Source organism: Homo sapiens, chromosome 3, assembly GCF_000001405.40.
Source record: "Homo sapiens chromosome 3, GRCh38.p14 Primary Assembly".
In the NCBI taxonomy this organism is placed as follows: domain Eukaryota; kingdom Metazoa; phylum Chordata; class Mammalia; order Primates; family Hominidae; genus Homo; species Homo sapiens.
Genome location: NC_000003.12, coordinates 48,011,778 through 48,037,906, shown reverse-complemented (window position 1 = coordinate 48,037,906; position 26,129 = coordinate 48,011,778). Strand labels below are relative to the sequence as shown.

The 26,129-nt window shown below is 40.9% G+C and overlaps 1 protein-coding gene across 167 annotated transcripts in view; it reads left to right on the top strand.

The window, feature by feature from the left end:
• MAP4 (microtubule associated protein 4) overlaps window positions 1-26,129 on the top strand; it is a 238,154-nt gene that overhangs the window by 50,942 nt on the left and 161,083 nt on the right. For 14 of the 167 annotated variants that reach the window (NM_001385676.1, NM_001385664.1, NM_001385685.1 and 11 more), the window contains exon 1: window positions 21,491-21,573. The exons of 151 other annotated variants lie outside the window; for them this stretch is intronic. The gene's annotated coding sequence lies outside the window, so the exon portion shown is untranslated. Of the gene's footprint in view, window positions 1-21,490; window positions 21,587-24,389; window positions 24,433-26,129 lie in introns of those variants that run through there. 2 more of the 167 variants (NM_001385690.1, NM_001385691.1) reach the window with 2 other exon arrangements.

Sequence of the window (26,129 nt, the reverse complement as noted above, 5' to 3'; positions counted from 1 at the left end):
GCGTGAGCCACTGTGCCTGGCCGAAAATCCTCACTCTTGAGCTCACAGTTTATAGAGGGTAATAGGCACATAAATAATAAAGTGGTATAGTAGAAGCACATGTCATACATTAACTGTGTACTAGAAGTACATATCATATAGAGTGCTCCTGAAGTCATGGCGACTTTCATAGGGATGGAGGTAGGTTGAGGGGTAGGTACTGAAAATATTGAAGCTGGGTGCTGTGGTTCACACCTGTAATCCTAGCACTTTGGGAGGCCAAGGTGACAGGATCGCTTGGGCCCAGGAGTTTGAGACCAGCCTGGGCAACATGGAGAAGCCCTGTCTCTACAAAAAATACAAAAATTAGCCAGGCATGGTGGCATGTGCTTGGAGTTCCAGCTACTTGGGAGGCTGAGGTGGGAGGATCACCTGAGCCTCAGGAGATCGAGGCTGCAGTAAGCCAAGATTGTGTCACTGCACGCCAGCCTGAGTAACAGAATGAGACCCTGTCTCATAAATAAATAAAGTGAAAAGGTGGAGAAGAAGAATAGCATTTTAATTATTAAGCGTGAAAGAATTATTTTAGTATTGAAGATGGACAATAATTGATATAAATCATTTTTGATTTAGTATTCTTATCCACTCTTATTCATATGTTACTCATTCTGATGCAGCTTTTGAGTATATAGGATCAATCCAGCACATGAAGAGCTAAAGGGAGGTTCTGTACCTCTTGTGACAGCTTTTCCTATTCTTGGAGGGACCCTTTTTTACTTTCCTCAGAACTTTATTTACTAGAGTTTATTTCCTTTTTAGATTTTATTTCATGTTGATGCTAGTATTCTTACTGAATGTATTCTGACCCACTAAGAATCAATGACAGGGTAGGGAGGTGTAGTTGAGATTTGGGGAGAGCCTTATGCATTTCATAGGGGTCCAAATTCTGTATCTGATTTTTGGCTTCAGAATACTTTTCAGGCTGTAAGCCAGTAACCTCATTTTAGTCTTTATCTCTCAGCCTTATAGTCATCTTTTGTTTTATCTTACTGTAGGCTAACATTCACCATTAGAAAGTCAGACAGCTGGTCTACACACCAGAAGATACTATATTAGCTTTCATTGCTTATGTTTGCCTGTTGCAGGCTCTTTTGTTTACATCAGCCGCCTTCACTCATTTGGTTTTCATATGCATACTGATTGATACATATAAACTTAGGGAGATTCACTCTAAACAGTGCTCTTGATCTATTTTGTGTTTCTTAAGTGTTTTAGCTCAGAGACTGGTACTGTTTACATAGAAAGAACAGCCTCGTCAAGAGTCTGGAGGGGCATACCCTATGTCACAGCATTTGGCCATAGCTCTATACATGACGATATCAAGAAGGCGCCCCCTTGGACCTACGAAGACAGAAGGCACATTCATGTACTTTGAGTACACAGAAATATGATAAATGATGAATAACAACTGTTTTTAAGAATTAAAAAACAGGAGGCATAAAGTTAATAGGAGATGAATGCTTAATGTGTGGCAGTTTCACGTGTTACATTTGAGGGTCAGGTCGGTAGTGGTGTTGGTGAAGGGAGCTAACTGGTTACCCAGCCTGGATGGGATTGGGTGGCTGTGGGTGGAAAAGGTGGGAGGTAGCGTTATAAACAATTAAACTAGTGTTCAATTGTTAAAGGCTATTATCATAGCCTTTGACTTTTCAGTCTGTTGAATGATCATTTTGCTTTGCATAGAGCTTGCTATAAAGATTGCTGTGAGAGACAATATTTGGTAGTAAATTAAGAGTTGTGCCACTTTACTAGCTGAGCAATCTTAGGCAAGTTATTTAACCTCTAAGTGCCCTGGTGTCCTCATTTTAAATGGGGTTATCTATGTCCTAGAGTTGTTCAACATATTAAGCAAAGTAATTTATGTAAAGTGATTAGAATGGTCTCTGGAATATAAGTCTGCAATAACTGCTGTTTTTTTTTGAGAGGGGGGGATGGAGTCTCGCTCTGTCGCCCAGGCTGGAATGCAGTGGTGGGATCTCGGCTCACTGCAACCTCCACCACCCAGGTTCAAGCAATTCTCATGCCTCAGCCTCCCGAGTAGCTGGGATTACAGGTGTGTGCCACCACACCTGGCTAATTTTTGTAATTTTAGTAGAGGCGGGGTTTCATCATGTTGGCCAGGCTGATCTCGAACTCCTGACCTCATGTGCTCCTCCTGCCTTGGCCTCCCAAAGTGCTGGGATTACAAGTGTGAGCCACAATGCCCAGCTGGCTCTTCTTATTTTTATTTTTAGTCTATTGAGACAGGATCTCACTCTGTTGAGTGAGTGCAGTGGTGCCATCACGACTCACTGCAGCCTCAACCTCCTGGGTTCCAGCAATCCTCCCACCTCAGCCTCCTGAGTAGCTGGGACCACAGGCACATACCACCATGCCTGGCTAATTTTTAAATTTTTTGTTGAGACGGGATCTCCCTATGTTTCCCAGGCTGATCTGGAACACCTGTGCTGAAGCAGTCCTCCCTCATCGGCCTCCCAAAGTGCTGGGATTGCAGGTGTCAGCCACTGCATCTGGTCTAGTTCTTATTTTTTTATATGGGTTGGAGTTTCTTTTTTTTTTTTCCTTTTTCTTCTTCAATTTTAATATTTTGTCATTTTATTATATTGCATCTCCCACTGAAGACTTGTATATTTCTTGGGGTCTTATTGGAGAGAAATCCTTTTTTTTTTTTTTTTTTCATACAAATCAGACCCAAGGTAGGTTTAGTGTTTGGACTGTAATATGAAGTTTGCTTTTTAATTGTTAAAATAATGATTTTTTTCTTGCATTAAACAATTCTGAAAGTTTTTCTTTTTGTTCACTTGTAGTCAGACACCAAAGAAAGGGGGAAAACTGTAGAATAAGTTATTTTTTTTGACAGTGTCTCACTCTCTGTCTCCCAGGCTGGAGTGCAGTGGTGCAGTCACAGCTCACTGTAGACTCAACCTCCTGGTCTCAAGCAAATCTTTCACCTCAGCCTCCCAAGGAGCTGGGATTACAGGCATGTGCCACCATGCCTGGCTAATTTTTGTATATTTTGTAGAGACAAGGTCTCAGTATGTTGCCTAGGCTGGTCTTGAACTCCTGGACTCAAGCAATCCTCCCACCTCAGCCTCACAAAGTGCTGGGATTACAGGTGTGAGCCACTGCACCTGGCCTAAGTGAAAAAAAATTTTTTATTTTTTGGATACAGAGTCTCTCTCTGTCGCCCAGGGTGGAGTGTGGTGGCATGATCTCAGCTCACTGCAACCTCCCCCTCCAGGTTCAAGCGATTCTCATGCCTCATACTCCCAAGTAGCTGGGATTACAGGTGTGTGCCACAATGCTTAGCTCTTTTTTTGTATTTTTAGTAGAGACGGGGTTTCACTATGTTGGCCAGGCTGGTCTCGAACTCCTGACCTCAAGTAATTCACCTGTCTTGGGCTCCCAAAGTGCTGGGATTACAGGTATGAGCCACTGTGCTGGGCCCCTAAGTGATTTTTTTAAATGGTCAATGTGTGAGCTGTTTTTTCCTTATGGTTTTCTCTGTTCCTTTTCCTTGCCATAAAAGTAAAAATAGATCTGGTTTCCTGGGTTATCACAGCTTTTAACAAAAAGCTTTTTGATAAAATTAGCTGTTGGGTCAGTGGGATGAGATCATTCCTTTCTAAGTAGTGTGAAATGTCCTCTAAGCATTTGTGAGACAAAGGCATGCCAGATAGGCTAACCACACAATAAGCCTAACTCTGTGGTTATGTTTAGGGCAGGAGTGTGAGTTTTCTGTGAAATAGAATACTACTGATATGTAGAAAAAGGTGAAAGGTACTTGGCACAATATGTATGCACTCTGGTTGGCCACGTGTAGAAAGAGATTAGAATGATAAAAGGGCTCAGGATACACTTGATATGAGGGCATAGGCCATCATTATCTTCAGATGTGATTAATTAACTGAAAATTGAGTAGCTCATCTACATTTGGATTAGTGCATCTTTAATTAAAAATTCTTGGCTGGACACGGTGGCTTACACCTGTAATCCCAGCACTTTGGGAGGTTGAGGCGGGCAGATCACCTAGGATCAGGAGTTCGAAACCAGCCTGGCCAACATAGTGAAAAAATCCGTCTTTACTAAAAATACAAAAACTAGCTGGCTGTGGTGGCGTGCACCTATAATCCCAGCTACTCTGGAGGCTGAGGCAGGAGAATCACTTGAACCTCGGAGGCGGAGGTTGCAGTGAGCTGAGATCCTACCACTGCACTCAAGCCTGGGTGACAGAGCGAGACTCCCGTTTCAAAAAAATTAAAAATAAAAATAAAAAAATTCTTAAGGACAGTTTGAAACTGGAGAGAAATCATAATGTACTTTAAAATGGTTAATTGTATGTTATGTAAACTTCACTTCAATTAAAAAAATTAAGGACAGCTGGAAAGAAAACTAATATACTTTTCTGTTTGTACAAAATAAAATGGTAGATTTAAGAAGCTTTAACCAGGGCTTCAACTTTCACATCATAGATACTAACTGTAGAAGCATAGTGCGATAACTGATAGTTAAATAGAAGATAAAAATCCACATGAGGAGGGCATGCCATTTTAAAAAGGAGAGCTATGTGATGCTATTTCCAATACATAGATATAGCTGGACTTACCTTCTTTATCCCTGAGAAACGAAAGCATTCTAAGTTAGCAGAGGAAATGATGATCAGAATGATAATACCTCCTACCTTTTCCCCTTGCTTCCTGATTTGGGATATAGGACAGAAAAGAAATTCTACTTTTAGTTGAGAACTCAGGGATGACTTTGAACAAATATATTTGTTAATCTCCTTGGACTTTTCTCACTTTTAAAATAAGGAGGTTGGATTCAAATGCCCTTTCTAAAGTTTTGTGATTTGGTTGGAAATATTAGATGTGCACATCACCAAGTTACTTTGTTTTGTTTCTGTGTACATGAATAAGCTTTTATTAGACTTGGTCACTGTTGTCTCTCTGTGATCAACAAGGGTAAGTTAGCTTCTAAGAGTACCAGTGGTAGAACTTTAAGATTTGAAGCTTTAACGAGAGTCAGCTAGTTTGCAGTGATTAGAGACTTGTAAGTTAATTGATATACACACTTTTGTCTATATTTATTAAGTTTCTCAGGGGAATTGTAGATTATTTCAGAGTGCAGTTTTAGGTCGTGGATCAGATTTAAGTTGGAAGTAAATAATGGTTATTACTAGAATTTTTTGTTTTTGTTTGTTTTTGAGAAGGAGTCTTTCTCTGTCACCCAGGCTGGAGTGCAGTGCCACAATCTCAGCTCACTGCAACCTCTGTCTCCTGGGTTCAAGCGATTCTCCTGCCTCAGCCTCCTGAGTAGCTGGGATTACAGGTGCCTGCCACCACACCTGGCTAATTTTTTTTTTTTTGAGACGGAGTCTTGCTCTCTTGCCCAGGCTGGAGTGTAGTGGTGCGATCTTGGGCTAACTGCAACCTCCGCCTCCGAGATTCAAGTAATTCTCCTGCCTGAGTCTCCCTAGTAGCTGGGATTACAGGCGCACACCACCATGCCCATCTAATTTTTTTATTATTTTTTTTTAGTAGAAATGCAGTTTCACCATGTTGGCCAGGCCGCTCGCGAACTCCTGACCTCAATTTTCATACATTATTATTAACTAAAGTTCATAGTTTATTTAGATTTCCTTAATTTTTACCTAAATACCTTTTTCTGTTCTAGGATCTCATCTAGGATACCACATTATGTTTAGTTATCATACTTAGCTTTCTCTTGGCTATGACAGTTTCTTACACCTCCCTTGTTTTTGATGACTTTGACAGTTTTGAGGAGTACTGGTCTGATATTTTGTAGAGTGTCCTTCAGTTGGGAGTTGTCTGATCTTTTTCTCATGATTAGACAGAGGTTATGCTTTTTAGAAGGAAGATCACAGAGGTAAAGTGCCACTCTTATCACATTATATCAAGGGTGCATACTATCAAATCATGTCAGCATGATTTATGTCTGTGTGTGTGTGTGTGTGTATGTGTGTGTGTATGTGTGTGTTTTGCTTTATCACTCAAGCTGGAGTACAGTGCTGTGATCACAGTTCACTGGAACCTCCTGGACTCGACTCAAGCTTCCTCTCAACTCAGCTTCCCAAATAGCTGGGACCATAGGCACATGCCACCAAGCCCAGCTAATTTTTTTTTGAGAAAGAGTCTTGCTCTGTTGCCCAGGCTGGGTTGCAGTGGCACGATCGTGGCTTACCGCAACCCTGGCCTCCAGGGCCCAAGTGATCCTCCCACCTCAGCCTCCCGGGTAGTTGGGACTACAGGCACGTACCACCATGCCTGGCTAATTTTTTTGTTTTTTTGTTTTTTTTTGAGATGGAGTCTTGCTCTGTCGCCCAGGCTGGAGTGCAGTGGCGCGACCTTGGCTCACTGTAACTTCCGTCTCCTGGGTTCAAGTGATTCTCCTGCCTCGGCCTCCCAAGTAGGTGGGACTACAGGCATGTGCCACCACACCCAGCTAACTTTTTGTATTTTTAGTAGAGACAGGGTTTCACCATGTTAGCCAGGATGATCTCAATCTCCTGACCTTGAGATCCCCCTACTTTGGCTTCCCAAAGTGCTGGGATTACAGGTGTGAGCCACCGCACCCAGCCTAATTTTTGTATTTTTCATAGAGATGGGGTTTCGCCATGTTGCTTGCCTAAGTTGGTGTCAGAACTCCTGGCCTCAAGTGAACCTCCTGCCTTGGCCTGCCAAAGTGCTGGGATTACAGATGTAAGCCATTGCACCCAGCTGATTTATCACTATTGATATTAGTCTTGATCACTTGGCTTAGGTAGTATTTGTCATATTTCTCTTACCCCCCCCTCCCATTTTCATATTGTACTCTTTAGAAGGAGGTCACTATGTGCTATGCACATGTAAAGGATGAAGGGTTATGTTCTACCTCTTGGAAGTGGAGTATCTTGTTTGGAATTCTTCACTGAAGACTTGCTTATTCTCTCTCATTTATTTATTCAGTCTATTGTTTATATTGTTCCAGCTTTGGTCATTGGGAACTTTTTTAGTTGACTCCTGTGTAATTGAGTTACCCCTATCTTTTTTTTTTTTTTTTTTTTTTTTTTGAGATGGAGTCTTACTCTGTCGCCCAGGCTGGAGTGCAGTGGTACAATCTCGGCTCAGTGCTACCTACACTTCCTGGGTTCAAGCAATTCTCCTGTCTCAGCCTCCCGAGTAGCTGGGATTACAGGCACCCACCATCATGCCTGGTTAATATTTGGGTTTTTTATAGAGACGGGTTTTAATCATGTTGGTCAGGCTGGTCTTGAACTCCTGACTTCAGGTGATCTGCCTGCCTTGGCCTCCCAAAGTGCTGGCATTACAGGCCTGAGCCACCTCGTCCGGCCAACTTACCCCTATCGTTGTTTTTTTTTTTTTATTTTTATTTTTAGCACTTCCTAACTTTCTGGAAATACAAGGTACTTCAGGCTCATCTTGAATATTTTGTTCTCAGTCCTAGAATTAGTCATTTCTCCAAAGAGTCTTGGTTTCTTTATCAGAGAATGGTATTAGAAACCAGCATCTGGGTGTGAGGTATGCTGTTGCTTTACTGGGGTGTCCCCTGAAGATTTTAATTAAACTTCATCTGAGTTTGAAAGGACTGGAAATGCTGTGTTTAAATTTTTTTTTATTTTCTAATTGAGACAGGGTCTCACTGTGTTGCCAAGACTGAAATCAAATTCTTAGCCTTAGATGATCCTCCCACCTCAGCCTTTCAAAGTGGTGGGATTACAGACGTGAGCCACCACACCTGGCCAGAAATGCCATATATATAAAATATATAATATATATTACATGTGAATATGTAATATATAATACATAATATTACATATGAATATATAATACATATATTATATATATATATTTTTTTTTTTGAGATGGAATCTTGCTCAGTTGCTCTGTGCAGTAGGGATCTCGGCTCACTGCAACCTCTGCCTCCTGGGTTCAAGCGATTTCCCTACCTCAGCCTCCTGAGTAGCTGGGACTACAGGTGCATGCCACCACGCCCAGCTAATTTTTTGTATTTTAATAGAGACGGGGTTTCACCGTGTTAGCCAGAATGGCCTTGATCCCCTGACCTCGTGATCCTCCCACCTCGGCCTCCCAAAGTGCTGGGATTACAGGCGTAAGCCACCGTGCCCGACCTACCTCTTTTTACTACGATTTTATTACTACTGGAACTAGATCTTAAAATATCATGTAAGATCTCTGCCATTATACTAGTTGTCTGTAGCTACATGTATGGAATTTTAAACCGTTCAGATTACTACCTTAGGAATCAGTATGCATTCTTGCCTTTTCCATAAAGCAGAGGTGTCAGGACCAAGCTTTTCAGGTCATTGACAAAACTGAAAAAGGAGTTAGTGATTATTGCTTCCTAGGGAAGTAAGACTTAAAAAAATATGCATTTACTTATTTATTTATTTAGAGACAGAGTCTCGCTCTGTCACCCATGCTGGAGTTCAGTGGCGCCATCTCGGCTCACTGCAGCCTCCGCCTCCTGGGTTTTAAGCATTCTCATGCCAGCCTCCCGAGTAGCTGGGATTATGGGTGTGCACCACCACGCCTGGCTAATTTTTGTATTTTTAGTAGAGACAGGGTTTTACCATGTCGGCCAGGCTGGTCTTGAACTCCTGACCTCAAGTGATCTGCCCGCTTTGGCCTCACAAAGTGCTGGGATTACAGGTGTGAGCCACCCCACCTGGCTTATTTAATTTTGAGACAGAGTCTCACTCTGTTGCCCAGGCTGGAGTGCAGTGGCACAATTTCGACTCACTCATCCTCAACTTCCCAGACTCCAGTGATCCTCACACCTCAGCCTCCCAAGTAGCTGGGACTACAGGTGTGTGCCACCACAACCAGCTAACCTTTTTTGTATTTTTTATCGAGGCAGGGGTTCACCATGTTGCCCAGGCTGGTCTTGAACTCCTGGGCTCAAGCGATCTGCCCGCCTCGGCCTCCCAGTATGCTGGGATTACAGACCTTTGCCACGGTGCCTGACCAGAAGTAAGACATTTTGGATGTGTGAATGAAGTTCTGATTATGTTCTAAAGGAATTACCACTAGTTTTGTGGTACCTTTTTTTTTTTTTGAGAAGGAGTCTCACTCTGTTGCCTAGGCTGGAGTGCAGTGGCGCAATCTTGGCTCACTGCCACCTCCGCCTCCTGGGTTCAAGCAGTTCTCTGCCTCAGCCTCCTGAGTAATTGGGACTACAGGCGCCGGCCACCATGCCCAGCTAATTTTCGTATTTTTAGTAGAGACGGGGTTTCACCATCTTGGCCAGGCTGGTCTGGAACTCCTGACCTTGTGATCCACCTGCCTCACCCTCCCAAAGTGCTGGGATTACAGGTGTGAGCCACCGTGCCCAGCCATTTTGTGGTACTTTTGTTTTCCATTTCTCTCCCTCTCACACCTTTCCTGTCTACTGACTTTGTGATTTAGTTAAACCAAGCCACTAAAACCCAGCCAAAATTCTACTACCAATAAGAAATGTTTAGAGTTGATGTTGATTTAAATAGCTTTAGTGCAGCTGTGTCGTACTTAAACTCCTGCAAATTTCCCTCCCCCCCCAGAGATGGTGTCTTGCTTTGTTGCCCATGCTAGAGTACAGTGGTGCGATTTTGGCTCGCTACAACCTCCGCCTCCTGGGTTTGAGTGATTCTCCTGCGTCAGCCTCCCAAGTAGTTGGGACTATAGGCGTGTGCTACCACACCTGGCTAATTTTTGTGTTTTTAGTAGAGATGAGGTTTCACTATGTTGGCCAGGCTGATCTCAAACTCCTGGCCTCAGGTGATCTGCCCACCTTGGCCTCCCAAAGTACTGGGATTACAGGCGTGAGCCACAGTGCCTGGCCCCTGCAACGTTCTTGAAGTTAAAGTGAGTGAAGTTGGTCTTGATTAAGAACTTATGCTGCAGATATTGTGTGAATGGGTATCTACAGAGGCAGTTATTTCTCAGCTCCAGTATATTGTTGCTAAGTGGAAATACATAGTCATGGCCTGATCTTCGGATTTTTTATTTTTTTGAGACAGGGTCTTACACTATCACCCAAGGCTGAGGTGCAGTTCCGCAATCATGGCTCACTGCAGCCTTGACCTCCCGGGCTCAAACGATCCTCCCATTTTAGTCTCCTGAGTAGCTGGAACCACAGGTGCATGCTCGGCTAATTTTTTTTATTTTTTGTAGACACGGAGTTTCACTGTGCTGCCCAGGCTGGTCTCGAGCCCCTGGGCTTAAGGGATCCTCCCATTTCAGCCTCCTAAAGTTCTGGGATTACAGGACTGAGCCAACGCGCCTGGCCCTGTTTTTTAAAAAAGCTGTAAAACTGTATTTTCATTCAAAGATTACTGATTTTGGAGATATTGGCCATTTTTCAAAACACTATATGGGCCACTGCACCAAGGGGCCTGTTTGACCTAGGTTTGCACTCTGAACTGGTGCTTCTCTTGTGGGTTCAGTGAGTATTCATTTTGGGGAGGGAACTCTGGGCTTGGTGGGAGTTGGGAGATGTTTGTCCTAATTGTAGCTTTGTCTCTAGTTTTCTAGATGGCTTTTGGCAAAGGGAAACCACTTTGGATCTCTCTTTTCTGAGTTTTAAAATTTGAGAGTAAACTGGAGAATTTAAGGTTCTCCCTTACTCTTTTTTATTTTACATGTTCATACATGTATTTACTTGAGCTGTGAAACAATGACCATTTATGAGTTGGAGACTTCAGGAAGTCTTACTAGTCTTAAGTGCTTTGGGAATAGAGGAGACTATTATGTTTTCTCTAGATACACTTTTTTCTAGGCTACAGAAGATTCTCACCTGCTTTTTGGACTCTTGGCATACTTGCCGCCTCTAATCATTATCTGGCAGATGTGTACATAGTAATGGGTGATGCATATGTTTCTGTTTTTTCAAGCAAATTGATTCTAATTTGATGAAAGCTGTATTGATATGTAGGGTTTTTGGGGGGTAGTCGTGGTGATGGGTAGAAATAGTAAAGCTGACAGTGACAGTATTTTCTTAGTTATGGAGAACATTTTAATACTTTATTTCATTATTTTTAGTTTGAACTAATTAATTGTTGGTGGTTCTATATGGAAATAATGATGTAGGTGGGTGTTCATCACTTAAAATCAACTGCATAAGATAATGGCATAACTTAATTACTGTAACAGCAAAAATGAAATCTGAGAAACTTCTGAAATTTAGTCTTTTATTAATTTGAGATAAGATTTATTTGGAGATAAGATTTCAGACTTCCTTTTATCAGACAGGTGGTTTTATAGGAAGATTAAGATTCTTCTAGAAAAATCTTAAAGACAAGGGAAATAAGTTTTTCTTACACTCTAACCATATATTCACTTGACATATAGTGTTTTTGTAAAAATATATTCGTTTCTTACATCTTCAGAATAAAGCATCTTGATGTAATGTGATTTACTAAGAATCATACCTCTCTGTCCTGAAGGCCAATCTAAATTGCTGTTTTGTATAGATTGCCAATTTTTAAAAGAGAAACTGTTGTATTTGAGTGGGATGTAATAAATATGAGCGTTTATGATGTAGTCTCTTGTGGGAATGTTTATTTACAAGTAATTTAAGCCTCTGTGAGCCTGACAAGGCAAACTCAATCTTAAATCCTTGATTAAGTGGAAGTATAAACTGATGGAATAATAGGCAAGCAGGATTTATGTTTACATGGTAATTGCAACAATTTTGGCCAAAACATTTGGCCTAATAGTCACTAATTTTGATCCTTTATGTTCATTAGCTGAAATTGTATATGTAGTAGTTTCTTTGTAAGGTAATACAAAGCAGTAAGGACACAGGAGAAGAGTATATTTAAAAGAAATTTCTCTTCAGATGTATAGACTTTGCTTTATAGTTCTAATGACAATAGTCCAGGAGCCTCTAAGTCAGCATATTATTATTATTGTTATTATTATTATTATTATTATTATTATTATTATTTTTGAGGCAGAGTTTCGCACTTGTAGCCCAGGCTGGAGTGCAGTGGTACGATCTCGGCTCACTGCAACCTCCGCCTTCCAGGTTCAAGTAATTCTCCTGCCTCAGCCTCCTGAGTAGCTGGGATTATGGGTGTGCACCACCACGCCTGGCTAATTTTTGTATTTTTAGTAGAGACAGGGTTTTTACCACGTCGGCCAGGCTGGTCTTGAACTCCTGACCTCAGGTGAGCTGCCCGCCTTGACCGCCCAAAGTGCTGGGATTATAGGTGTGAGCCACCACACCTGGCCAAGTCAGCATATTATTTCTTCTTGTAAAAAGATGTCATGGTGGCTCATGCCTGTAATCTCAGCACTTTGGGAGGCTGAGGTGTGCAGATCACCTGAGGTCAGGAGTTGGAGATCAGCCTGCCCGGTGTGGTGAAAACCCGTCTCTACTAATAATACAAAAATTAGCTGGGCATGGTGATGCACGCCTGTACTGCCCGCTACTTGGGAGGCTGAGGCATGAGAATTACTTGAACCCAGGAGGCAGAGGTGGCAGTGAGCCGAGATCGCACCATTGCACTCTAGCCTGCATGACAGAGACTCTGTCTCAAAAAAAAAAAAAAAAAAGTGTGTAGGTATGTATACCTAATAAAATTAGCGCTTTCTAAAAATGCAGTGCTTGTCATTTACTATTAAGTCAAGCCATATGAAATCACATTTTGTCAGTAAATAAATGTTCAGATATCCACAATCTTATACAGTTCTAATAGATACTCAAGAAATTTTGTCGACATGAAGAGAGTCAAATCATAAAATGGTAGACTGAAAAAGAACTTCGTGGAGAATTCTTTTCTTTTTGCAAACAGAGGTGACTGGGAGGTCGAGGCTGCAGTAAGTCATGGTCATGCCACTGCACTCGAGCCTGGACACCAGAGTGAGACCCTGCTTCAAAAAAAAAAAGAAAAAGAAATGATTGCACTGCCTTTTTTTGGTTTTGGAACAAATATTGTGATAATAACTTTTACTTATAAATGTAGCACAGAAATCTTTTACTTTGTAAAAGTCCCTGAATAGAAAGTCAGGAGACCTGTTTCTCCTACCAACTAGTATAATTTTTGGAAAGCTCATTGTTCATCAGTTTCCTTATTTGTAAAATGAGGATGTTAGATATGTAAGATCTCTGTATTAATTAGGATAGTTGATGCTAACTCTTTAACATAACTAGCATTTCAGTGACTTAACACAATAATGGTTTATTTCTTGCTCACGTCATAGTGTGAGTGTTTAGCCTGTGGCTGTCATGTAATTGAGGAATTTCAACTCCTTCCATCTGGTGTCTTGGAGTCTCCTGCTGGATTCTTTGTATTTAGTTGGTTGATAGCAAAGAGCACCAGCAAGCAGAATTTCATCAAGTGCTTTGTAGTGAAGCATAATTCTTCAGCTCACATTGCACTGTCTAGAACCCACTCACATGGTCTCAACTTCTAACTCCAAGGGAAATAGGAAATGTCTTTCTGAGCACCCAGGGAGAAGAAACAGAATCCCCATCTTTGCCACGGTCCCTTTCATTTTGTACATTTTTAAAATTTTTTTATTTATTATTTTTTTTAAAGACAGAGTCAAACTCTGTTGCCCAGGCTGGAGTGCAGTGGTGTGATCTCAGCTCACTGCAACCTCTGCCTCCCAGGTTCAAGCGATTCTCCTGCCTCAGCCTCCCGAGTAGCTGGGACTACAGGCACGCTCCACCACGCCCAGCTAATTTTTGTATTTTTAGTAGAGACAGGATTTCACCATGTTGGCCTGGATGGTCTCGATCTCTTGACCTCATGATCCACCTGCCTCGGCCTCCCCAAGTGCTGGGATTACTGGCGTGAGCCACTGCACCTGGCCCATTTTTTGATTCTTTATTCACACCCAAATACTTTCTCCTGTTGCATATTGCTTTTTGTATCTTTGGTTACTCTGAATTTACTTCCAAATTTCTTGGAAGGAGTTTAGTATTGCAAGTCAAAGCAGCCCTTTGGTGCTTGCTATGTTTAGGAGAGGGTCTCCCCCCAACCCCTGCCATCCCCAGATGAGTATATTTGTTATTTTTGTTAGTAGTTTCATTTGTGGTGTAAGTTTGTCTTTTATATTGTCATGGCTTGCTTAGTTTTAAATGATTAAAAATACATCAATTGCAAAAATCTCCCAGTGCTTGTATAAGAAAAACAATAGAATATTGAACACAGCCAACTTCAGAGGGAAAGTCATTGTCTACCATGTTCAGTCTAGCAGCCTGCTAGCAGAAGGGAAAACAGACAAACCTTATACTGTCTTTTAAAGGTCAGCACATGCAGACTTAGAGACCAATAGAGAAACACATTCCAGTGAGCAGGCAAAGTTCTCTTTGACTTCTGCCCACTTAAGAGTAAACTCAGAGAGTCAGCAAAAGTCTTTCAGTTGATTTCAGCTGCTGTTTTGGAGTCATCTCCATCTTTCCGAAGCCTCCTTCTCTTTTCTCCTTTTTTGTTCTTTCTTGATACATTATATTGTACATGTTCATTTGTATGTAAATACAAAATATCCTTCTTTATGGATCCATCTTATGTTGGTAAGTTTGATGAGAGTGTTCTAATTCTAAGCCTTGTCTCCTTAAAATATATAATTATCTCAGAATAATGCCATAGTTCAGTTTGCCTTATGTTTGGATTAGTACTTTCTTGTGTAGTTCTCTTTCAGTAAACTGCTCCCCTCCCCTGTTTTTAATTGCACCTTTTTTCATATACCATTTGCACCACATGTCTAAGTCATTGGTCTTTTTAAATTACACTATGGAAAGGTTAATTTTGGACAGAGTTGTTTCTAGATCCTAGTGCATTATCGTCATCCTAGGATTGCATTTCATTTCTCTTGTAGGCTAATGGTACTATTTTTTGGATATTGCAGCTTTAATAGGATGCTGTGTTCATTTTTCATTTCCTGGAGTCTGTGCTGAAGTTCATTTTCAGAAAGAATGCCTGGAAAATAAATTTTTTTTTTTCCCCCCTGAGATGGAGTGTCACTCTGTTGCCCAGGCTGGAGTGCCGTGGCGCAATCTTGGCTCACTGCAACCTCTGCCTCCCGGGTTCAAGTGATTCTTCTGCCTCAGCCCCCTGAGTAGCTGGGACTATAGGCGCATGCCACCACGCACAGCTAATTTTGTTGTGTTTTTCGTAGAGACGGGGTTTCACCATGTTGGCTAGGATGGTCTCCATCTCTTGACCTTGTGATCCGCTCGCCTCAGCCTCGCAAAGTGCTGGGATTACAGGCATGAGCCACCACGCCCAGCCAATAATTTTTTTTAAATTGTGTGTTTGAATTTCCCATTTTAGCCTTCACTTAATGGATGAGTTGGCTGTAAAAATCTAGCTTCAAAATAGTTTTTCTCAGTTTTAAAGGCATCACTTCATTTTTTAAAAAAAATCATTTAGTGTTACAATTAGAAATAAGCCCATCTGTTTCTTGTAAGTTGGTAAGTACTGCTGAGGGGAATTTCCCTCCCTCCCTTCTTGCCACCTTGCCGAGGCTGTATTCAAATTCCTGGGCTCAAATGATCCTCCCACCTCATCATCTTCTTTTTGCTTTTCTTTTTTCCTTCTTTTGTCCCTGTCTCTCTACTCTCTCCATTGTCTGTTCGTTTTCTTCATCTGCCTCTGTGATCATGAAAATATTCGCCATGTTATTGTTTACCGTTCACATTTAGGGCTGCCATCCACCTGGAATTACTTTTTGTATATACTGTGAGGTAGAGCTCAAAATATCCAGTTGACCCAGCACCACTTATTGAAAAGACAGTTAATTCCCCCACTATTTTGCAGTGTCACATTTGTCAGATATTAAGTATCCATATGCATGTGGTTCCGTTTCAAAACCATTTTTTTGCATTGGCCTCTTGTTTTGTTTTGTTTTGTTTTTCCATATGTTCAGCACACCAAGTACATTGGCCTCTTTCTTGGTGATTGTGCAGGTACCACAATGTTTTCATTACTATATTTATGTATTTTTAGTTTCAAACATATGACATTGCCATAGGTTAGAAACTCATCAGTTTTCAGCATTTTCACATGGTTCAATCCATCAGTAAGTTTTGATATCCAGTAGTTTAAGTTCCTCTAAGTTTGTTCTCAAAGATTATCTTAGCTGTTCTTGACTTTTTAAATTACTATGTAAAACTTAGGATCAACTTTTCAGTTTGATTTGAAAAGAAAAAACCTACTGGACTTTGCTTGGGGTTATGTTAAATCTATAGATTAGGCCGGGCGTGGTGTCTCACGCCTGTAATCCCAACACTTTAGGAGGCCAAGACAGGTGGATCACAAGGTCAGGAGTTTGAGAACAGCCTGGCCAACATGGTGAAACCCTGTCTCTACTAAAAATACAAAAATTAGCCGGATGTGGTGGCGCACGCCTGTGGTCCCAGCTATTCAGGAGGCTGAGGCAGGAGAATTGCTTGAACCTGGGAGGCGGAGGTTGCAGTGAGCCAAGATCATGTGCCACTGCACTCCAGCCTGGGCAACAGAGTGAGACTCTGTCTAAAAAAAAAAACAAAAACAAACAAAAACTATAGATTAGTTTGGGGATAGTTGATACCTTTAAAATATCATAAAACCTTAAAATAAAATAAAACCTTATAGGTTTTTCCTAAAAGCACTCCCTTAGTAAATCACTTGTACAAAAATCCGTGCCTCAGATTCTACATCTAGTAAACTGATTCTAAAACACCTTCCTAACAAGGGGGAGTGTGATGTCTTTCTATTGTTAAGTTGTATTAATCCTGTGTTGCATTTCATTTCAGTGAATTTTATCTTGAATGGATTAGGTAGATTGTTGATTAATTCAGTGACCCTCAATTGTGGGTGCCTCTCGGACTCAACTTTAATGAGATTTCTCTGTGTCATGATTACCCTTACTGCAAGAAAACCAACAACACTGAGATTTTTGGTGCAGTAGCACATGCTTCTAGTCTCAGCTACCTGGGAGGTTGAGGCTGGAGGATCGCTTGAGCCCAGGAGCTTGAAGCTGTAGTGTACAATGAGCACACCTGTGACTAGCCAATGCACTCCAGCCTGGGCAACATAGTGTGACTTGTCTCTAAAAAAAACAAAACAACAACAACAAATAATACTCATATTGCTTAACCCTGTCCCTGAACAATTCTGATCCAGCGTGTTTTTTTTGTTTTTTTAATACTTTTAATTCAGATTTTTACTTGTATTTCAGGTAAAATATTAAAAGTTATGTTACTAATAACTTGAAAGATCTCTTCAACTTTTGCTGTTCAATTTTCATTTAATAATGATATTCCCCCCCTCCTTTTTGAAAGCATCTGTAAGATATTAGGTCAAAGTAAGGCCTTTGCCACGACTACAAAATGCTTGTTAAGTACTCCCATAGAGTTTGTATCTTCTCCTTCTTGCTCAGAAAAGCTGAGCTACTCTACCCTTAGTCGTGCCTAGAACCAATACTTAGAAGAACTATGAGGGTGCTTCCAGCTGTGCAAACATCAACCCCAGCAAGAGAAGGCTGGTATGGTATGGAGCAGAGCGCACCTAGCAGGACAAATGTGCATTTAATGAGAGCCTGTGAGGTTTCAAGTTTATTATATTTAGATGTCCAGGATAAAAGGTGAGAAAGATGCTATCCTAGCCATCGAGGAACTCAAGCGTTAAGGGGAACTCTGGGTGGGACACACATTGTAAATAAACAATTACAAGGGTGGGCATGGTGGCTCACACCTGTAATCCCAACACTTTGGGAGGCTGAGGCAGGCGAATCACTTGAGGTCAGGAGTTCAAGACCAGCCTGACTAACATGGTGAAACCCTGTCTCTACTAAAAATACAAAAATCTCCGTCTCAAAAACCCCACAAAAAACAAAACAAAACAAAAATTATAGAATTGGCAGCACAAATTCCTATGTCCTCTTCTACCTTCCACTTTTCTTTATTTTCACTGATATAAAATAGAGTGAAACTTCACTTTGCTTAATGGGAGAAGTTTTTCTTTTGTTATCTATTATTTTCAAGACAGGGCCTCACTCTGTAGCCCAGGCTGGAGTGCAGTGGTGCTATCACGGCTCACTGCAGCCTTGAACTTCCTCTGCTGAAGTGATCCGTCCACCTCAGCCTCCCAAGAGCTGGGACCACAGGTGTGCAGGCTAATTTTAAAATGTTTTCTGTGGAGACGCAGTCTCAACTGTGTTGCCCAGGCTGGTCTTGTACTCTTGGGCTCAAGCAGTTTTCCTGCCTCAGCCTTCCAGAATGTTGGGATTATAGGCATGAACCACCATGCCCAGCCAAAAGAGAGTTTTTTCTTTAATAAAATAGTTCTCAAAAGCTAAGAGCTGATCAAGTATGAATATTCTTCCTTTCTTCCAATCTCCTCAGCACTAAGTCATCCTAAAGTTACATGATATGCTTATTACTTTCTGACAGATATATGAGCTGATAACTATAGAGATTTAATATTTTAATAATTATAAAGTTTTAATATTTATATGATCATATTAACATGATGGTAGTGGCTGATATCTTTCTCTCTTTCTCTCTCTGTCCCTCAGAGATGTGGTCTCACTTTCTCGCCCAGACTGGAGTACAGTGTTGTAATCATAGCTCACTGCATCCTCAAGCTCCTGGGCTCAAGGAATCCTACTGCCTCAGCCTCCTGAGAGGCTGGCACTACAGGCACACACCACCATGCCCAGCTAATTAAAAACATTTTTTTTTGTAGAGATGGTGTCTTGCCATCTTGCCCAGGCTAGTCTTGAATTCCTGGGCTCAAGTGGTCTTCCTGCTTTGGCCTCCCAGAGTTCTGGGATTACAGGTGTGAGTCACCATGCCAGGCCAGTAACTGGTCGACCATCTTGAATATTTGTTTTTGCCACATTGCATCATGTCATGCTTTTCTAAAAGCAGAGAGAGCTATTTTTATTGCTATGCCTAATAATGATAAGATGACCAGCATGGAGAGCTGGTTCGTACGGTTACTCCTTACTGGCTTTCTTTCTATAATTCCAGACAACATGCTTGCTCTTGTACAAACTGTGTTTAGAAAGTGGAAGAAAATAGGTGAATATTCTTTTTTATTTTTATTTTTTTGAGACAGAGTCTCACTCTGTCACCCAGGCTGGAGTGCAGTGACACGATCTTGGCTCACTGCAACCTCCACCTCCCAGGTTCAAGTGATTCTCCTGCCTCAGCCTCTCGAGTAGCTGGGACTACAGGTGCACACCACCACGCCCGGCTAATTTTTGTATTTTTAGTAGAGAGGGGTTTCACCTTGTTGGCCAGGATGGTCTCAATCTCTTGACCTCATAATCCACCCACCTCAGCCTCCCAAAGTGCTGAGTGCTGGGATTACAAGCATGAGCCACCACACCTAGCCAAGGTGAATATTTGTAATTGGTGATAACCTTTCAGCCTTGAATCTGTTTATTCTTTTTCTAGTTGTGAAGAGTTTTTGTAATTTTGGAACTTCTGATTAATTTCAAATTAGATTCAATTTCTAATAACTTTCATCGTGTCATTTTAGAAATGTGTTTTTAGCCCCTTGTTTTGTTGGTTTTTATCATTTTGGCCTGTCTCCTCTGTAGTCTACTAGGAACAGAGAAGGTGTGCACATCACTTTGATGTGGTCCTCTCTTCTGGGACCCAGCAGTTTACAGGAGCTGGTATATACAACTAACTACAGTGGGGGGTCCCCAACCCTCGGTCTGTAGATTGGTACCAGTCCATGGCCAGTTAGGAACTGGGCTGCACGGCAGGAGGTGAGCAGCAGGTGAACAGCATTACATTAACTTTGCGATAAGTGTGCCTGAGTTCTGCCTTCTGTCAGATCAGCAGTGGTTTTAGATTATCATAGGAGCGCAAACCCTATTGTGAACTGCACATGCGATGGATCTAGGTTGCATGCTCCTGTGAGAATCTAATGACTGATGATCGGAGGTGGAAGAGTTTCATCCCGAAACCATCTCCTCCCTCTCACCCCTCCTGCTATCTGTGGAAAAATTGTTTTCCACGAAACCTGTCCCTGGTGCCAAAAGGTTTGGGGACCACTGAACTACAGTATAGATCAGACTCTACTGTTACAAGTACAGATGATGTATTAGTTCTGAATACTACTGGGAGAAAGATTCTAAAAAGCAGTCACAGAAAAGGTGGTAAGACAATTTATGTGGACCTTGATTTCAAGACTTTCACAAATGAGGAGGGAGAGAAGATAACTTCAAGTTTGGAGAGCAAATGAGCATAGGGTGTACAGTGATAATGTAAGATGGTAGATGGTCCCATGTGACTAAATTGTAGGGAGACCCTACATGGAAAGCTGCTGATGATTATGGTGGGTGATAGGACTGAGTCTTGTCAGTCAGCCTTGATATTACACGTAAGAGTTTGGATTTACAAAAAAAAAAAAAAAGAAAAAAGAAAAAGACATCTAGGCATTGGGGTCCCTTTAAAGATCAGGTGGAATGTTTTCCTGATGTTCAGGATTCTTCCTGCCTGCCTCCCTCCTTGCAGAAGAAAAGATAGGTAGGTATAAGTAGTAGGTAGGTAAAGGTATGTATAAGCAGGTATAATTCAAAAGGTATATGAAGTACAGCGAAGTCATTGTGTTAGATAAAAGCAGAAACTACAAAACTGTAAGGTTTTGCTTATTTTGTCACGCTCTGCTTCTGTTTTTGGTGTTCTGTGGCTCTTTTCGCCGATCCTTTGTCTCAGCCTCATTTGTAAGTGACTTGTTTTTTCCATTTCTCATTTTTTTTTCCATCTATTAAAGTGAGGGGATTGGATCCTAGATCAGTTCAACTGGTGTAAGCCTTTAGAGCCAGGCATGGTGGCTCATGCCTGTAATCCCAGCACTTTGGGAGGCCAAGATGGGTGGATCACTTGAGGCCAGGAGTTTGAGACCAGTCTGGCCAACATGATGAAACCTCGTCTCTACTGAAGATACAAAAATTAGCCAGGCATGGTGGTGTGCATGCCTGCAATCGCAGCTACTCAGGAGGCTGAGTTAGGAGAATCACTTGAACCCAGGAGGCGGAGGTTGTAGTGAGCTGAGATCATGCCACTGCATTCTCCAGCCTGGGCAACAGGCCAAGACCCTGTCTCAAAAAAAAAAAAAATGCCTTTAGAATGTGGTTAGAAATAATTTTTGGATTGGTATAGATTAACTCTGAATGTTTTCCTGTGTTAGAGGAAGGAAGTGGGATAAATGTAAAGTTTAAAAAAAATGCTCCTTTTTCAAAATTTTGAGGGGTTAGGTATTAAGAATCTTTTAAAGTTTTACTCATTTAAAAAATTTAGATAAAATGGAAGATTCATTCTTAAGGTTGGTGATATCAGAAATGTAAGTGCTGTGTCATTGTCATTTCTTATTTTGGCCTACATAACCGTAACCAGACTTCAGACATCATGCTGCCTGTATCACATGGCTAACAGTGGGAGGTATCTGGTGTGTTCTTCCTGGAGAAATAGATTGAAATTCATTTGGACAGAAATGTTGAAGGCAGGTGCCTGATCCAAAATGCATTTAGTCAGGACTGAACACAAGCTGCCTGGATAGTTCCTGTAAGTAAGCAAGGTAGCCTTTTAACTTTGTGATGCAAGGTTTTATGTATGTGAGTATGTGTGTGCAAGTGTATACAGTATTTTTATATCCAGAGAACAGGGCTCCCTTAAATGGGGGGTGGGGGGGACTCTGGTAACTACATGAAAGTAAAATATAACTTCTTTAAACCTATATCAGTGTGTTCTTTCATGTAGGAATGTAGCTGTGTGATGGCCTCAGCTATTCTAGTAATCAAGGGCTCTCTGCTGTTGCTAATCCTATGATGAACAGGACAAATGGTGGTTACGAACAGAACCCTGTCAAGCCTGGAAATTCCATCAGTTTGTAATAGCACAGCTGTTGTCCTTGAACTGTGTAGGGAGGAACCTAGGGGTGGACAGTTAATATATTCTTCAGGGGGGTTGTAGTTTATTGCTCAGGATAGTCAAGATCTTCCTCAGTTGTCTGTTGCTATCTGCAAGTCTGGTTTGGAGGAGAAGCAGGAGAAATTCAGATTTGTCTGAGGAATCATATGTGTCTGTGAACTGTGTAAGTTGGTAGTTGATTCCTGTAGACATCCTTGCTAAAGATTTATTTTTAAGTAAAATATCATTTTGCTTGAAAGTATAAATCAAGGTTTTGTGGTTAAATAAATTAAAAACAGCACAGCTGCCAGACAAAGTTCAGCTTGATGTATAACAGGCCTCTGAAAGAAGTTCAGTAAGAAACAAATCTGGGTAATAAAGTTAATTAGTAACTAAAAACCTGCTAGGCATACTAAAAAAAAATCTGATGTTGAATATTAAATTATTATGAAGCAGGCTATACCTGTATCCATCAAGATTATAAATGATCTCCCACACTGGCGACGTGGGGTTCCTTTCAAGCCTGAGGAATGAGCACTATATTTTGGCCACAGCATTCTCACTAATGTCCTAGGATAGCAGCTTAGTGTTGGCTTTAGAATTCTCTGTCATTTAAATGTCATGCAAAAACAAACGTATAAAAGAAAACATTAACCCAGATATCTTTATGGTTCCTTGTCTTGTCCATAACCGCCCCCGCCCCCACCCACCCAAAAAGGACAGGCTATCAGTTATAGAGAAAATATAAGTGAGCATTATAAGCAGTATCCTACCTTTAGTAATAATTATTTAAAGTTTATTAAATGGGTTGTTTGGAACTCAAAATGATTTGCCTCAAAGTAGCCTAGGTCACTGAGAAGAAAGTTTATTTCTTTCTGCTGAAACTGACAGGAGGCGATATTTTGAAAGATAGCAAGCTTGTCTTTGGCATGGTATTAACTCCCTTTCTTTTGCCTCCTAGGGCTCCTGGGCCTGTATACCCTTTCCCTACTTTGATACCATATCTATATCTGCTTTATTCCCTGAAAGTTCCCATGTTGCCATAATATTTTTCTTCCTTTTTCACACCAGAACCAAGAACTCAGACATCTTCAATAGAACCATCTCTGGGATGAACAATGGTCTTTCCAGGGATGTACATTTTCTTACCCACTTTTAAATTAAGAAATAGGATTCTATACTTTTAAAAAGAGAATGCTGGCTACTGCAAATGAATGTCGGTAGAAATTTGGCTAATGTGACACAGTAAAATGAAGGTTTCCTAACACAGTGGTTAGGAAAAGTGAGTATGATGGTGGGAATCAGGCTTCTGTTCTTGCTTTTTTTTTTTGAGTCAGGGTTTCACTCTGTTGCCCACGCCGGAGTGCAGTGGTGCAATAGTGGCTCACTGCAGCCTCAACCTCCTGGGCTCAATCAGTCCTCCCACCTCAGCCTCCTGAGTAGCAGGGACTACAGGCATGTGCCACCATGCCTGGCTAATTTTTACATGTTTTTGTAGAGATGGGGTTTTGCCATTTTGCCCAAGCTCTGTTCTAGCTTTTCATGAGTTTTTTCCCTGCATTTTAGCTCCCATAGTAGCACCTTTCAAGGGGTGAATAGAAGAGGACAGAGACAGCAACAGGCCATTGGTAAACCAGATTGCCAATTTCTCATCAGACAGAATGAGCACAGACCCCGAGTGAGTGGCTCTAGATGCGAATGACCTAAAATTTTCAGGAGGACTTCATGGAGCTTAAAAGGTTCTTCAGAACTTCTGTGTAATTAAGTTAGATATTAACACTGTTTAATCTGTATAGACCTGTAAAATATTTTTAGTACAGTAATTAATTCCAGAGTTTGTGAACTATCCAAAGTAAAGCATACAACAAAGTACTGTGGCCTCATCATATATCCTTATTTCCTGTTTATGAGCACCTAGCTCTTAATAGTGAGATTGTAGTCAAGAGAGTATTTTATCATCATGCCATGTAGTTGCCTCTTGCCTTAGTTTACCTATTTTAAAAAACCCGGCTCACTAATAGTTTCACTTCAGGCATGTCATCAGAATGAAAGATCAGATATACAAAGTGCTGTGCTTGAAAACTGTGTGTTCCCTTAGTGCCTGGTTAGATAATACAGGGCTTATTTTCTGGCAGAGTGGTGTTGAGTCTCCTTTGATGTTAGCCAGAACTGGGTGGAGTTTCTTAAGCTCCAGTCAGATTGGCTCAAGCAGGGCACCATGCAGTGGTGAATTTGTTTTCAGTCCCTCCCTTTGCCAAAAAGCTTTTTTTTTTTTTTTTAATAAACCTCAACCCAATTATAAATGAGAATACTTGATATATGAAATAATATGAAATGATAGTTGTTCATATTCACACTGAGGGTCTTAGGGGGTTTATTTATAGCTAACTGAAATGATGCAGCTGAATTACAAGTAGCTGATAGAATAATCAACCTCAGTAAACATTTAACATAACACTCTCATTTTACAGATTAGAGAACTCAGCCCTGAAAGGTGACTCATTCAAGGCCACAGTGAGTGTCAGATTAAACTGGTGCTTCAGTAAAGCATACAGACTTCTGTACCCAGCTTTCAAATTCTCTTGACTCTTACTCACAAATCTATTTAAAGTTAACTTTATTATCTGTATGGATAGAAGAGGAATAGTATAAATGGTCAATTGGTCAGTGAGAGGTTTTTTTTTTAGAGTAAATGCTTCTCATTCACAAGGGTTCATTTTTTGATCCTCCTGAACATCCAGATTTGAAAATAATAGTGTCATATCCTTTTATCCATAAAATATGTAACTAAGCATTTAAGGCATAACCGAATAGTAAGTAACTTCAAGTGATTCTGTGTGAGATGAAATTCATACATGAATTTATTAAAATTAATTTTGGAATACTTGAACCAGTTTAACATCTATAGAGCATTTAAAGAGTGTATTGTACTTATACATGTTTCAGAATAAAATAACTATAAAATTGGATAATCGCTTTAATTTATTGAAAACTGGGGATTTCTGGGAAAAAAAAAACAACAGTACTTTAACTTGAAAGATGACACTAGCATTACCTTTCTAGGATCATTTTCCATAAGGGGGTGTGTGTGTGTATTTTAAAATCATATTCTATTTATGTGGTGACAAGTAAAGAATAGCTTAACTGTTGATGAAATACAGATGCTAAGTGGCTAGCTAGATGTGCTCATAGCTTCATGACCTTCCCACTTTCCAATTGTATAATTTTCTATCAGTTTTACCCTCTTAGGCTGAATTTCAGCTACTGTTCATATTCCATGAACCACATGCAGCCCAGGAAGTCATCTGAGAGTGTGTGGCTGGGGGCGGGGTGGGGGTGCTGAGGGTTGGATAGGGGAAAGATTACAATGGATAAAAGCTGCCCTTTGATAATCTGCATTCTGATAAATGATATTTAAAATGTATTGGTGTTTTTGACTGTATTTTTACCCTGTGCCTTAAATGAGGAAAAGATTTGAGTAGATTGCATCTTATGTCATTATGTATTTCTGGGGAAAATTAAATTTTGGATTTTTATGGTATGTTGTTAAGGATGGCACAGATGTCCTTTTAAGTTCTCTTTGACCATGAAACTGATGCAGGATTTTTGCTCCTTAGCTCAACTAGGTCCAGGTTCTTATCTCAGGAGCGGAAGAATTAGGCACGTGGACATCAAAGAGTGAGTGGAGTAGAATCTATTAATCGAAAGGAAAGCTCTTAGCAAAAAGAGAGAACATGGTAGGTGGTTCTACTACCTGAAGACAGGAAAGTTCCGTAATATGGCTGAGCCTGGGGCTCTTTATTGGTTCAGAATGGGAGTGTGTGGTCATTGGTTTGTGAGTATGCAAAAAAGGTCAAAGCGAAGACACCACTCCAAGGTGGGCAGGACAGTGTAGAAAACCAATTAGGAAAGGGTAGGTACAGGTTAAATAGGTGAAGGATGGGGATCAATCATGCCAAACGGGAAGGCAGGTTCTTAATCCGATCTCAGGATTTACCCAGGACAGTTTCCGGATTAAAGTTCGGGTTTCACTGAGGACCCGCCCCTGTCTGCCTAGACATTTGTTTGCCTCTTGCCTCTATCAAAACTAGTTACAGACGTCCTTTTTAGTTTTTGGTTCATAACAGCTCCCAAAGGATAACTACTAATAATAGTTGTCAGAGATAGAATAGGGAAATGGCATAACCGAATAGTAAAAGCAACTGAATAGT